We start from the raw sequence: 16,240 nt of genomic DNA on the forward strand, positions 1-16,240 counted from the left end.
TATGTTCAAGCTCATTAGGCCTCAGAAGGAAACCAAAATTAAAGCAAAATTAAATACCACTGTAAGCCCAAAAGAATGGCTACAATGAAAGAGACTGACAAATAGTAACTACTGGGAAAGATGCAGAGTACCTGCAATTTCCATACTGTGCTGGTAGGAACATCCTGGTACAACCACTTTGTAAAAATATTTGACACTAACTGCTGAAATTGAATTTCTGCAAACCCAATTGCCCAGAAATTCCACTCATAGATATTTATCCTACAAAAATGCATACACATATCTACCAAATCACATACTAGAATGTTCCTAGTGGAAACAGTGCAAAACTGAAAACAATCAACCTAAAAATGGATAAATTGTGGTATCTTCACAAAACTGAATAATATGTAGCAATGAGAATAAGCAAACTATGATTTGAATGGATCTTATAAACAATGTTAGCAAAAGAAGTCAGACATAAAAGTGTACATAACATCTGATTCCATTTATAAAATTTTGCAAACAGGGCAAAAGTAACTGAGAGTGAGCAAAATCAGAATAGTTACCCTGGCAGGAGGAATGATAGGGGTCAGAAGCTTGAGGTGAGCTTCTGGTCATATGTTTCTTGATCTTAGTGATGATTAAATGGGTATGATCTCTGTGCACTTGGCTAAAATTTTTACTTATAACAGAAATAACCCGGAAGATGTATATGTACTGACTTAGAAAGGTAACCACAATATATCAATAAGTGAGGGAGGAAAAGCTGATTGTAGATCACCAAATATAATATGATTCTGCACTGGTAAAAAAAAATGTGAATTATTATATCCAAAATAAATCCATTAAGGATTTATCAACAATGCTTATCTCTTTCAATTTTTATTTTTCATTTTATGAAATTTGGGGATTTTTAGAAAATGAGCATTAATTAAAGGTTTGGGACCAAAAGAATAAATATTAAAAAGAAACAACTTTCTAGCTGAACTTTCCACAATTCCAAAGGTATCTCACAGGTGGTGCAATGCAGTGGCCGTGAGAGTGACATCTCTTTGAGGGACCAAGGAGCGTCTAACGGCGACAGGACAGAGCACCTGGATGAGCAGATCCTTCCTCATGAATGCAAATGCACTTTAATTCACCTCCCTCAGCTTGTGCTCAGGGAGCAGGTTCTGTCCCATTCTCTGTGGAACACTCATTGAGCAAAGGAACAACTCAAAAGGCACAGAGGCCCAGCTCCGTCCTGGAGAAGGGGCTCGCGGTGTTGCCAAACACATAAACTCTATGTTCATGCATTATTTTACTTCGCAAAAGGCCCAAAGAATAATTATCACTTGTCATGTCTTAGGAGTAACACTCAATAAGCTTACCTGTAAACCTTGGATTAGTAAGACAAATTTCAACTTGCCCCTGTTATGCACAACCAACATCCTTTTAACATAATCATGGTTTCCTCTACAGACTTTTATCATTACAAAGTAATTAAAATTTTTATCATCCAATCTTATGTTTATATATTGTTGTTGTTATATATGTTTATCCAATCTTACGTTTATATATTATTGCGATATATGTTTACGTATTGAAAAAAGTGTGTTCAGTAGCTAAGAATTACACTTGAAAATGATGGGTAGTCTTTAAAATATTTTTATTATATATGCCAAGCATACATATGGTGAATAAAATGATTTTTAAAAGAAGTTTTCCAGTGAAAATGGAAAACATGCCCAAGATATAAAAAACAGAATCTGCGTGTGCATCTATACATGTGTGTATACAATTTCCAAAAATCCAGTGTATATAACCTCCCCTCATAGAAGAAATAGAGCACAAATTTTAGCCCATTTTCCTTAAAAAAAAAAAAAAAATGGAAGACTCCTGGCTGGGCGCAGTGGCTCACGCCTGTAATCCCAGCACTTTGGGAGGCCGAGGTCAGTGGATCACGAGGTCAGGAGTTCGAGACCAGCCTGGCCAACATAGTGAAACCCCGTCTCTACTAAAAATACAAAAATTAGCTGGGCATGGTGGCGTGCACCTGTAGTTCCAGCTACTCGGGAGGCTGAGGCAGAAGAATTGCTTGAACCCTGAAGCAGAGGTTACAGTGAGCCAAGATCGCGCCACTGCACTCCAGCTTGTGTGACAGAGCAAGACTTCGTCTCAATAAATAAATGAACAATAAATAAATAATAAATAAAAGACTCCTGATGAATGAAGAAGGCACTCATTCAAATCTATGCCCAGACCAAAAAAAAAAAAAAAAAGCTGGCAGGGGAAAAGGCTGGGTGCAGTGGCTCACACCTGTAATCCCAGCACTTTGGGAGGCTGAGGAGGATGGATCACCTGAGCTCAAGAGTTCAAAAACAGCCTGGGCAACATGGTGAAACCCCATCTCTGCTAAACTACAAAAAGTTAGCCGGATGTGGCGGTGTGAGCCTGTAATCCCAGTTACTTGAGAGGCTGAGACAGGAGAATCACTTGAACCCAGGAAGTGGAGATTGCAGTGAGCCAAGGTCGCGCCACTGCACTCCAGCCTGGGCAACAGAGGGAGAGTCCACCTCAAAAAAAAAAAACAAAAAAAAAAAAAAAAGGGGAAAAAAAGGAAGGACATGGGTACTGGATATTATGATCAGATTTGCAGGCTTAAGAAAAATGAAATAAAATATTAAATAATCGTTTAATATCACCATAAGAACATATTTATTTTCATTATTTTGTCTCAGCCACGTTAGAACGAAAGCAAATATGCTTTATAATAATGGGGATTAGTCCCAAAGTACAGCGGTCCCCAACCTTTAGTGGCACCAGGAACTGGTTTCATGGAAGACAATTTTTCCACAGACCAGGGGTGGGGGGATGGTTTCAGGATGATTCAAGTGCATTACATTTATTGTGCACTTTATTTCTATTATTATTACATTGTAATAGATAATGAAATAATTATGTAACTCACCATAATGTAGAATCAGTGGGAGCCCTGAGCTTGTTTTTCTGCAACTAGACAGTCCCATCTGGGGGTGATGGGAGACAGTGACAGATCGTCAGGTATTAGATTCTCATAAGGAACACGCAATCTAGATCCCTCACATGTGCAGGTCGCAATACTGTTCGTGCTCCTATGAGGATCTAATGCTGCAGCTGATCTGACAGGAGGCCGAGCTCAGGTGGTAATGTGAGCAATGGAGAGCAGCTGTGAATGCAGATAAAGCTTTGCTCCCTCGCCTGCCCTCTGCTCACCTCCTGCTATGCAGCCCAGTTCCTAACAGGCTACAGACCGGTCTGTAGCCTAGGTGTTGGGGACTCCGGACATACAAGGAAGAGCCACTTTGATTGACAAAAGGCTAGACTAGAAAGCAGGCGTTAACCACAGCCTGCCAATTTTCATGGGATGGAATGAACCCCACCTGCACTTCCCCAACACACAGTGGTCTGGGTCCACAGGCAGCCGTGTGCTCCACCTAAGGCCGACTGCTCCTCCCACCTCACACTCTTCTGACATAAATGCCATATCTGATAGCACAGACCTCTGCTGTGAGGAAACGGATATGTTTAAATTAAAGAGCACAGTAAATGCATGAATAAATAAAAGCATATGGGTGTAAACTCCTTATACATGATGCAGAAAAGAACAAGTGCATTCTGAGCATCTTGGAAGAGATTTCATCTTTCACAGTATGCAAATGCATTTTGCTATGACATTTTCTATTTTTGTAAGGATGATCCTCATTACTACATTTATGATATGAACTACAAAATTGTGTATCTGTTTGAACAAGAACATATACATAATTACTCTGTGGAGATATTTTCAAAAGTGTCAAACTATGAATTACAACACTGGCACTTTTTTTTTAAGGCTTCTTACATGGTTCCAAAACATGTCGTTTACAGAATGAAGGCTTGGTAAGATGGATGAGAACATTTGTATGGAACAGTTTCTAAAATATCAGTGATTTATTTTATTTAAAGCAGACTTGAGCTCTGGTTATATTACATAGAAATTCTTCTTATGAGGGAGAAACATGTAGCTGCACAATGAATCCAAAGTAATTCAACTGCCCTCTCTTTTCTGAGGAAAAGGCCTCGTGTGGCTGAGATGAAATCCACAATTCCTCCAACACAAGCAAGAGCTCCATCTCTGCCTGAAGTGAGCAGTTCAGCACTGCTCCCTGGCCTCCCGGCCCTTTTGTTCAATGACTGCCAAGCACCCTCTCCTTCTCTTAAGAAAAGTCCAATGGGTAACGAGATGGCACAGTCCAGCACAGTGTGCTAATTCACTGGACTTCTACCAGGTCAGTAGAAAGCTCAGCAATGTTCCTTCCCTCTAGAAGGCAGACAGATCTCCTACATCTTCCGGGAGACACAAATGTACAGAGCTGCCAAGGCTGCAGGTGGGCTAATAGAAATTATCAATGTTTGCATCTGACTAAATCAAAACGGAACCTGGAGAAAACTGATTCCTTAGCTTGGTACAATATAATCCAACCTCAAAATTCTGTCTATATGGAGCCTTCATTGGAAAGAAACGTAACTAAAAGAACACATGCAATTCTTCTTCCTAGACTCCAACAGATTCCTCAGCTCTGATGGTTTAATTTTTTGCCTAATACTCTTCTAGCCTTTCTTACTAATGAGGTGCATCTCACAGTCTCCCACCTTCACAAGTTCAGTGAGACACTCCTGGTTTCCCTCCATGGCCTCTGCAGATGGCAGAGTGGGATTCAACCATTGAACCTCTAACTTCTGTTGGTTTACACTTTTCCTATCATGAGTGGGGACCATAGAGATCATAGAGTCCAGTCCTTTTACTTTTAAAATGAGAAAATGAAGGTTTGAGTAGTGAAGTGAAGGGACTCATTCACAGGGCGGGAACTAGAACACAAGTCTCTTTTGACTTCTAGTTAGGCTCTTTCTACCATTCCCTGTTGGAATGATAAAACCAAACAGTCAAACAAATAAGACATTCTGCACAACAAAAAGTATATTCTGTGTTTTGCTAGTGTTTTTGTTTTTACCTCTGAAGAGATTATCCAAGTCAATATCTTCTTTTCCTTTGATTTTCAAACACTTTGCCTGCTGTACAAGTCTGGGCAAAGAACAGAAATAAAATCTAGATTCATTATCCTGTGAGGTAGGAAGAAATCATGATAGCAGCACAAATTTAAATAGAAACTGCAGGGTAAACAATAGTGAATTGGCAGGTATTTTGCTGCACAGAGCCTTGTTAGAATTTTAAGTTTAAGATTTTAAAAACACACTTCTGTTCAGAAACTCTGACTTTGAACCCTGAAATTTAAAAGGCCTTTCCCCCCTCATTCTATTACAGTAAAAAGTTTCCAAAACTCTCTGGAGAATAATCTCTTCAGATTCTAAGGAGGAGCTAGCAGGATGGTGGGTGATGGGATGGTAGGTAAGTAAATAATAATTGCTACTGATGATTTTAAGGCTCATTATTTTAATCAGAAGATTATAGACACTGTGCTCAAACAACTGTATAAAGTAATTTAGTTACATTGCTGAATGTCAGGGAATTAATTAACTTTTAAAATGCTGCAGTATGTAGTACGGCCTAATTCTGTTATTCTTTTATCATGGAACTTCATTAAAACTTGAGGCTCATACTTTATAATGAATATGGAAGTTTCTACAATAAAACTTTTCCAGGATTGCTAATTAGTCAGTAATTAATTTTAGGTAGATAGGCCTGTGAGATAATCAAGTAATTTATTTGTATATATTTTAATGAAATTTATATCTTGCTTTGCACATGTATTTTCTTACTGTATTTGAACAGCAAGTCTCTCATTTCATTTTCACTAACAAGCCTTTGAGTTGGTCATGGAAGTACTGTTTTAATTTCTGTGCTAGATGAGGAAACCGATTCAGTTACCAAAATCCTACATAGAAACCTAAATGACTTACAGAATTTGAGATAATTGTATCTATATGTTTATTTGTATGTTTACACAAGTATATCATGGCAGAAATGTTCTATCAGTTAGAGATCTCTTAATCATCAAGACTTTTTATCAAAAAAGCAAGAAACCGAGAAAATTTCTATTGAACTCCAACTTTGGACTTTACCATAGGTCCTACAAGGCTACTGTGGAGCATACTAACCACATGTACTTAATCACCTGGGGGGCAATGCAGAGACAGTACATTCAGTGTGCGAAAACTTGAGTTCACGCCTAGGATGCAGCCCCTAGGTTTGTGATCCAGAGTGAATATTTAAATGCTCAATCTTAGCTTCCAATCTGTTAAATGGACACAGTACCTGCCTCACTGGGTTGTTCAGAGCAACTAGTGAAATAGTATGTTAAAAACCAGTGTAAAAACGCTTATGCATCATGGACGTGCATAAGAATATGTGTAATATTCTCATCGATTCAATATATATAATTTTAATTATATTCAACATATGTATCATCAGGATTTGTTTACATTCTTTTTTTTTGCTTATATCATGCTTTGATATTTACATTCTTGTAGGAGAAAATATAAACTATAGAAAAGTGGCTTAAATGTAAGCAGTGAGTATCTGGTAGAGAGCATGGGTCAAACAGGATGCTGGGACACAGCACATAAGGTAAGTAGTGCAGCCTAGCCATTTTCCAAAGAATAATTTGGGGCGGGGGAAAGAACAATTTTAGCTGTGTTTACATGATTTTTGGCAAATCTTTAGGTATTTCCCCCTCAATTTTACAAATTTTATGAAACTTCAAGTTGATTTTCAAGCCATCTTAAAGCCCCCTTCTGCAATATATGCTAATCAAGATCTTGCTTCTGTCTTACAAAGTTAAAAAATAGAAGCCAGTCTGCCACATATAAAACTTTTATGGGTATTTTAAAAAACATTTTAAAATAAATCAAATAAATTTGTTGGGTGCTTTTTAAAAATAATGCGGAGTTCTTCAATTGATCATGGGTATATTTCAGTATAGTCTTGCTTTCAAATGATTACATCAGTAGAGAGATATGCCAAGCCAAATCCTGTGAGTAGTTCAGATTCAGGTAGCATTTCCTGGGAACTCCCAGGAGGTAGGTACATACTAAGGACTCCTAGCCTTTTCATTTCCCATTTCATTCTCACAAAAACTCTACAAGGTTGGGATAGTACTCTTGTTTTACACATTGAGAGACTGGGCTCAGAGACATTCAACAACCTGCCCCATCTTGGGCACAAAGTGGGTCGATAATGGAGCCAAAATCAGGTCTTAATGGAGCCAAAATGAAGTCCAATCTCAAGTCTTTGGACTCCAAATCCAGGTTTCTTTCTGCTTTACACATCACCTTCCAATAGCGTACAGTTTACTGATTATTTATGGAAGGCACGGATAAAGGGAAGTCACAGGCAGAGACTTGACTGTTGCTGGGCCAGTGGGGTCTTCAGAGAATGGAGATGGGTTTCCAAAAGTCTCGAGAATTAGGGTGGAACAGAACGAGCATAAGTAACGTGGGACGGGGAAGTGTTTTGAGGACCTGAATAAGCTAATCGACTTGTTTGGCTGAAGCACCATGCAACGAAAGGCAGCTTGACAGAACAAACTGAAGCCAGCCATGGAGGGCCTTGCATGGGTTCTCGAGGATGTGGACTTCATCTTGTGGGCAGTGGGAAAAGTCACAGAGGAATTTGTATTTCAAAAGAATCCACTGCATACAGCCAGTAGACATGTTTGGAAATGACTAGGCCAGTCATGAGCCAAAGATTAATATTTCATTTGTGTTTTAGCTAAAATAGTCTCAATCTCTGTCTAAATCTCCAGGGATGTACTACTGTTGCACCAATTATTCCTCCTGAAGCCTGGCCCATAGCTTTTATATAGTCATAATAGCTCCGGGCATCCTAAACAATCTTCAGTGTATTTTATTAATAGCGTTGCTGTTGCTGTCGCAAGTGTCAAGAGACCTGTGTATCTGTTTATACCTGATTTATTCCATAAAGAGGTGCATATGACCTAAAGGCAAAAGCTGTAGCTGTCACTGTCACCCAAGAGTCTCTGCTATCCATTGTTTTTCAATGTGTTCTTTCCCTAGGATTTCCTACTTCCAGTTGGAAGAAAGGGCCTGCATCCTCTCTGACCCTCTTTCTAGGCTTCCATTCCCCTTCACAAGACAATACTAGTGGCTATCATTTCTGTGCTCATTAAGTGCTAGGCCCTGAACTGGATGCTTAACATGAAGTAGGAAATATTAATCTTCTATTTATGTGTTCAAAAGGCAAGTTAAGGAGTCTTAAAAAGTCACATAATAAGTAGAAGAACTAGGATTTGAATTTAATTCAGGTTAGTCTAACTGTACCTAGACACCTTCTAGAACAAGAGTTAGCAAACTATGCCCCGTAAGTCGAATCCTGCCCATTGCTTGTTTTTGTAAACAAAGTTTCACTAGAACACAGCCACGGTCACTTCTCTACTTACTGTCTAGGGCTGCTTTCACTACGATGGCTGAACTGAGTAGTTGTAGCAGAGACCTTTATAGCTGGCCACACCTAAAATATTTACCATCCGGCTCTTTACAAAAAATAAGCTATCTGACCCTTGTTCTAGAAGTTAAAAAAAAAATGGTCCATAAGTTCAAAAAACACACGGAATGTGATTGTCTTATCTGGGAAGCTGCTCCCCAAACTGCCACAATAACTGTGTTTAGTTATAACTTAAGGCTTAACAGGCAGACACTGGGCTCTGACTCTTCTATTTTTAGGCAAATTCTCCAAACTCAATCAACATTTCTCTGAGATTTTCCTGCCTGCAGCTGTTGCATTCTGCAGAGATGGTTTCTGCCACCAAAAGACTCATGATCTATTAGGGGATGCAGACTTGTGCAAGGGCAGATTCTACACAAAGCAGACCAAGAAAGGGCTACATCAGAGAGACAGAGGATGTGCTATTGGATCATACAACAGGAGGACATTTTCTGCATACAAGGTGAGAGATGGTAGAAAAAGCCTTCAGGAGATGAGTTTGAACTGGGCCTCAATACAAATTTTATCACAGGAAACACAGAGAGGGCCACTGCAGGTGGAGGGCGAGTGTGGGTGAGGAGAATTAGCAATGGGGTGTGGTGTGCAATGAGGTAAGACGTGGAGCTAGGACAAATTATGGGGCCTGCACAAGCTTTCTATGTTCCCACGCATGTGTGTAGGTTTGGATATGCGAATTTATTTATTCTCAGTCAAGCAAAATGGACCAATGACCTGTGAGATTCTATCAATTTGAGGATTCATACAGTATGTTTAGTTTGCAAATAAAAAGTAATGAACCCTTTTAAAATATAGCAGTAAAAAGCATCAGCAAATAATAAGTTCCATAATATTCATATGAAAATGTTTACTGCAGCATTATTTACAAGAGGAGAAATACTGGAAACCATGGTCATTAGGGGAATGGTTGAATGAGTTCGGTATGCCTACACCATGGAATACAATGCAGTTGTTAAAAATAATGCATTGGGTCTGTTTGTGTTGATATGACAATTTACCCATGACATATTGTTAAATGAAATAAAACACATTGCAGATTAACAAAATGTTAATATAAATTATTTTAAAAGAGTGAATGTACATTGATATGGTTAGGCTGTGGTTTCCCACCCAAATCTCATTTTGAATTGTAATCCTTATAATCCCCATGTGTCAAGGTAGAGACGAGGTGCAGGTAACTAAATCATGGGGGCAGTTTCCCCATGCTGTTCTCATGATAGTGAGTACTCATAAGATCTGATGGTTTTATTAGTGTTTGGTAGTTCCTCCTGTGTTCATTCTCCTTCCTGACACCCTGTGAAGAAGGTGCCTTGCTTCCCCTTTGCCTTCCACCATGATTGTAAGTTTCCTGAGGCCTCTCCAGCCATGCTGGACTGTAAGTCAGTTAAACCTCTTTCCTTTATAAAGCACCCAGTCTCAGGCAGTTTTTTATAACAACATGAAAATGGACTAATACATACATCTACATACACATGTGCATACATGAACATCAAAAAGGTACAGAGAACAGGTGGCAATCTGTTAACCCTAGTGACCTAAGCATGCAGCATCAGAGTTAGGAGTGGAGAATGAGAAATTCTTAATTTCTTAAAACTTCTACATTACTGGAATTATTAAGGTGGACATTTTCTTATATTTTTCCAAACATCTATATGTTATGCTGTTTGATAGAAAAAGGTGTGGATATTGTTAATGTTTTTAGTTTTTATTTTCTTCTTTCTACTCAACTGTATTTTTTCTTTTCCCATAATAAGCAAGTACTGCTGTAATAATGAGAAAAAGATCATGTTAAAGTCCCACTTTACTCTTTACAATGAGTAAGAAATAATTATTTTCAAACCAGGTTAAGTATACAGATGATAAAATGCTTGCTGGTGCTCAGGCTGCAAGGTTTTATTTTTCTGGGGTGCGGGAACACTAATATTTCCTCTACACAAGTTGCTGTGGACATTGTAGGACACACTGTTCTGTGGCATTTAGTCACTGAAAGCCTGAGCCAAGGCAGGATTCCAGAAATCCAGAGATTAAGAATAAATTTTAAAATTCTTTACGAGAATCAGCTCGGAAAAATATTTTGAAGACATGGCATGGCATCCATGGGTTATTTCATAACGTTTCAGCATAACTGTACATTCATTTAGGAAATACAAGACTCTAGAGACTCCAGTGAGGTGCCTAAAAAGTGAGGCAGGTGGAGACTGGCAAGAGCTGGGCCCTTCCATCTCATCCCAGATCCTCTCCATGCCCCTGAGCTGATCCGGGCACAACTCATTTCGTTTTCCATATGCACAATATTCAACAGAACCTTTTTTCCCTTAGTGGCTGGGCCCTTTATGATAGGTGATTACTGAAAACATTTTGAGCATCACCCTTTCTACTCCGCATTACTTCCCTATGGCACCTGTCAACCAACTGTGATTTTCTCTTCATTTATGGTTTGCTTTCTTTATTCCTCTTCCATCTCCCCTACCTGAAAATTGGCTCCACACAAAGATGGAACTGGTTTGCTCACCTCCACATCCCTAGCACCTAACACACCACTTGGCAACAGCAGCAGCTCCACACATACTTGTGGAGTGAATGAATATCGATGTCATGAGCGAATCAGCATGCCTACTGCCAAGTCTGCACAGACAGGAGCCATCCCACCTAAGTTCAAATCCTTGTCCTGACACTTACTAGTTTGGGTGATTTTCTTATCACCAAGGAAAAGCTTGATAAGAACAAGGATTTTTGTCTGTTTTGTTCCCTGCTCTATCACTAGAGTTTGGAACAGTATTTTCTAAATATTTATTCAACAGACAAAGGTTGAATGAATGAATATGTCTAATTTCGGGACCTGGCTATGGTCACGGTGCTGAATTCAGCAAGATAAGTGTTAGTCAGCTAACTACATACCAAAACCAAATTCCATTCTGACTGCATCTTAATTCTAGGGCAGGTGGTGGTATGGAACAGTGAGGAGAGCAATGAGCTGGGAGTCAGAGGGCTCAAAGGGGCCACCATCAACAGTGCTGATGAAATAGCAAAATTCTTTGGCATTGGTGTCCTTGTCTCCACATTGCAGAAGTTGAATTAATCTCTTGAGTCCTTTCCCTCCGTAGAGCTCCTAGGTTGTCATGCCTGGCTAGTGGCTCCTCAGAGTCTGAGTGGAGGTGGGGAGCTGGAGGGGGGCTGCTCTGAAAGGCCTTGGGATTTCCTGTCCAGCCAAAACCCCCTATAGGGCAAGAAGAACTCTGGTTTGTCATGGTGTTTTGATCACTACTTTCTTGATTAAGGGGCTTAATTTAGTTATAGATACTGAGTATTATCTTAGACCAAATAAATAAAGGTCTAAATTCCTGTGGTTGGTGTTGAGGTGTGTGATATACACACCGCTAGAACTGGTCCAACTGCAAGACTTTAAAATCAATGGTTTTCATAAAAATGGAGAAAAGACATGGAACTATTATTTCAATAGTCTCTTCTATGTGCCAGGCCCATTCATATATCTATAGCAATATCAATGTCTATATCTACCTACATCTATATTCCTATACTCTAAATCTTATATAAGCCTCACATTTATGACCATTTTACAGGTGAAGGAATGGAGACTCTAAGAGAAAAACAGATGTATATGATGAAATCAATCAACTTAGGTACACTAAAGATCTATAATGTGAAACATAAAGAAGAAAAAGCAAAAGCATAAATTGTTTCTTCCCTTTAGCAGCCTATAGTCTTTTTGAGAAGACATGGCATATGCACAACAAACTATTAAAAAGGTACATGCAGACACACAAATAAGCTGCTGATATGTGGTGTGGACCAAAAGGAGAGAGGGATGCTGAGAGCAAGGATAGGACTGGCTCTGAGAAAGGATAGGACTGGCCTTAGCAAGGATAGGACTGGACTGGACTTAGCAAGGATAGGACTGGCCTCTCAGGGCTGGCCACCATCCTTGGCACCTAGTAGGTTGCTCAAAATCTATTTAACTTGTTGAGTGTCTAGTATGTGTCAGGTATTGCAATAAGTGTTAGAAATAGAGAGACACATAAAACACAAACTCCAACTTCAAGAAGCTCTTACAGATTGGAACTGCCACAGAACTCCAAGAGAGAGGTGAGCCGTGGGAAAGGGAGGAGATGCAGGCAGGAGTAAATGAGGTACCAAGAAAGGAAACAAAGGCACAGTGCAGGAATGAAAACAACACTGCAGGCGATGATGGGGAGTGAGTGGGGCCAGTAAGTAGACTCTACCTCCCAAAGCAGAGAATTGAGAGAAAGTGAAATTGAGGAGTGAGAAAGTGAAAGTAAGAAGTGAGAAAAAGGCTGGTGGATTAAAGAACCTATTTACTCACTTGGAAGGTGAATGTGTGGGACAACCAACTAACATTGTTATAATTCTGAGGGTGGAGATCATAGAAGGTACTTATGTTGCAGCCAAAATAAACTAGTTGGCTCATGGCAGTGCAGTTTATCACCAAGATCATTAAGGAACTATTCCACTACATGCCATCCTTTCTGATTACCACAATTTTCCCCAGGCATTTTTATTACTAATATTAGCTTTCAAAAAGTGCGTGAAATTTATAATATGGCAGGCATCAGGAAAAACAAAGTGAGCTTTATTAGGCATTTTCTTAGATTTTCTTAATAGCAATGATAGAATATGACAGGTATTTTAACGAATGGTGGTGCTATCAATTGTGTGAATTAGAATATATTAAACAATGCTTCTGGGAGGCAAAGGAAGTTATTAAAGAACACTTAGGCAGGTAAAAAAATGCCTGAAAAAAAAGTCCCCCTCAGGCCTGGGGAAACCAGCTAATAGACAATATGGGGAGTAGAGGGGAGCTGCATTCCAAAGTAATTTTCTTTATGATGAAAATGTTTTAATGACTCATTATATTCTCTTGTTGCAGGTAGAAGCCTTTAGTATACTATAATAAAACGTGCTCAAGACGGACATTTTGTATTATATATAGTATAAATAAGAAACATCAGTTTGGGGAAAACATGGTAAGATTCTTCCCTTCAGTAGTTCTATTATTATTATTAAACTTTAAGTTCTGGAGTATATGTGCAGAACGTGCAGGTTCTATTTTCACAAAATAAGAAACAGACGCATCATAAGGTGACTCTGAGAATCCTAGACATCAGTAGAAAGTAAGACTAAATATGAACCTAGCTGGGCTTTTTCAAAGCCTTAAGCTGTCATTCTTTCACTAGTCTAACGTAGTTGAATTGCACGTGGGATTTTTTTCTACTTATCATCTGCATGACCTCAGACACTACCTAACCTCTCTGAACTTTTAGATGCCTATGTTATAAAATCTGAATAAGAAAACTTACCACATACAGGGTTGTTGGGAGGATGAAATAAAATTAACACTATGATGTACACAAATTGTTTAGCATAACGCTTTGCAGCCCCAAGTAAGTATGTGCTATTAATAGTAGATAGTTATTATCATTGATATTTCTGGCAATATGATTGCTAATGTACTGTACTGAAAATATGCTGTATTTAATCAGACGACCTATGTTTCAGTCCCAGATAAGCTTACCAGCTTACTATTTCCTCACCTATAAATGGCAATATTATGATGAGAATAATGTCTGCTTTGCCTAAATTACAAAATTATGGGAAGCTCCAAAGGTTATGTATGTGCAAACTATAAATGGTTAAATGGATTAAGGTATTTTCTACTCTACTATATGTACCCAAATGAAAGAAACTCAAGTGTAAGCTATTCACCTCCATTTAATGCACCACGAATGTAATACTACCCACTCTATTAGCACAAATAAAAAAGGAATATATATGGGTTTTCAGTAAATGGTGACTTACTGTGATATTGTGAGTATGACTCTTTACAGTTAATATAACATCTGTATCTTACTGTTATAAAGATAACTCTTGCAAACGTCTAGCAGTACATATATAAATCTCTCAAAATAAAAACATGACTCTCTACTAAAAAATGTGAACATAAATAGACTATTTCTACCACTAAATCATGCAGTGGAGTCATATATTTACTAATTATAACCCTGATACAAAGATTAATATAAGAGCAAACATGTTTTTTAAAAATAATCAAAAAATTGGGTTGCAGTTAAGGAAAAGAAAAAATTATCCAAATTGTTGGGCAATATCTAACCAAATTTGGAAGCTTATCAAAGTTAATTTTATATTTTTCACTTGAATTACAAGAAGTCTGGATATATATAAATATATGTGTATATATATTATATATATACACACACACACACACACACACACACACACATATATTTCTTTTTTTTTTTTTGAGACAGGGTCTCACTCTGTCACCTAAGCTAGAATGCAATGGTGTGATAGCTCACTGCAGCCTCTGCTTCCCAGGCTCAAGTGATCCTCCCACCTCAGCCTCCTGAGTAGCTGGGACTACAGGCACATGCCACCACACCCACCTATTTTTTTTTTTTTTTTGTATTTTTTGTAGAGATGGGGTTTCATGATGTTGCCCAGACTGGAACTCTGGATATTCTAATGTGACAAATGTTGCTTGTATAAAAAAATTACAGAAGGCCTGTCCAGAGCTCAATGGTGGATGGCTTGACTGGAGGCCAGTGGAAATTATAGCTCTGATTTTCACCAATTTAACCCCCATCACTATTTTTGGACAGCAGCCAAGTAAAAGTTATTTCTGCTCAACATGCAAAAGAGGAAAGATAGAATTTAAATATTCTCCATCACCTGTATCTAATAGCTAGTGATTTCAAGAGCAAAGATTTGGGTTAGAGAAAAGGCAGCCTCGGGACAGTACTACAAGTAAGCTGTGGAGAGAGTTAAAATATGTTTTATCTGTACATAATTAACCTACATATCATTCCTTGTCGATTCCTTTGTTCTCTTTTGTTCCCTTGCCCTGGAATTTAAGACTATGAACAGGATGCCATGGAGATGAGGGTAGACTCGAAAAGGGAATGACTGCTAATACGATTTATCCAAACATTATTAGGATGATTGGTTAGGAAAAAAAGTGGACAGATATTGGAATGCAAGGATGGCTTTGGTCTTGAGATGTAAAAGCAAAAGTAGGCTTGAGGATTCATGATGTGTAACATACACCTCCTGCCCCCACAGCTAATTACAGGCAACATAGGATTTGGCAGAACAGGACAACCGGTGATTTGTCTGCTTGATTATCAACTAACATTCTCGACTCCTTCTATCTGTAGTAATTATTCCTATTTGGCATATTTCAGTGCAAAGCTCCTTCATAAATAATAAAGCACGTAACAATTAGTTTAAAAGGCTAAACTCCTAAGAGGAGTTCAAGATAGGGAGGCAACATATCTGTGTTTGCTAGAAAGAAAAGCTTAGCTAACCTCTGAGAGCAATCATTTTTTTTAAGGCAGTTCAAAGATCTGTTTCATTTCTGTGATTTTTGACATTGAGGATGAATGTCTAAAATATTTACAAGTGAAACTGACTAGGTTTTTATTTGAAAAAATACAACAGATTATAGCAAAAAGATTAAGGGCGAACGGATGTACTGGTCTCTATGATTCTGGAATAAATAAGCACTGTTCCTTGGAAATAGTTAAAAAAGAAAAAATTCTCTCTCAATTAGGAAATGGAAAGACATTCAAGCTCTCAACTACGTAAAGTTGTAAACAGTGTGGGTGTGAAACAGCAGTAAAGAACAACGAGACCCTGTGAAGTTGCAACAACAGGAGTAGGTGTATAGCAAATAATAAAAATGCAAGATACAGCTATAAAAATAGAGAAGCATGTGTATCCATA

General features: G+C 38.4%; 1 protein-coding gene across 27 annotated transcripts in view; it reads right to left on the reverse strand.

Annotated features, from left to right (window-relative positions):
* Positions 1-16,240, reverse strand: part of L3MBTL4 (L3MBTL histone methyl-lysine binding protein 4) — a 460,543-nt gene that overhangs the window by 121,170 nt on the left and 323,133 nt on the right. For 17 of the 27 annotated variants that reach the window (NM_001365765.2, XM_047437914.1, NM_001330559.2 and 14 more), the window contains one exon: positions 4,995-5,065. The exons of 7 other annotated variants lie outside the window; for them this stretch is intronic. In NM_001365765.2, coding sequence (NP_001352694.1) covers positions 4,995-5,065 — 71 coding nt within the window. Of the gene's footprint in view, positions 1-1,613; positions 2,991-3,918; positions 4,902-4,994; positions 5,066-16,240 lie in introns of those variants that run through there. 3 more of the 27 variants (XM_006722364.3, XM_011525763.3, NM_001365766.2) reach the window with 3 other exon arrangements.

Source organism: Homo sapiens, chromosome 18 (assembly GCF_000001405.40).
Source record: "Homo sapiens chromosome 18, GRCh38.p14 Primary Assembly".
Taxonomy (NCBI): domain Eukaryota; kingdom Metazoa; phylum Chordata; class Mammalia; order Primates; family Hominidae; genus Homo; species Homo sapiens.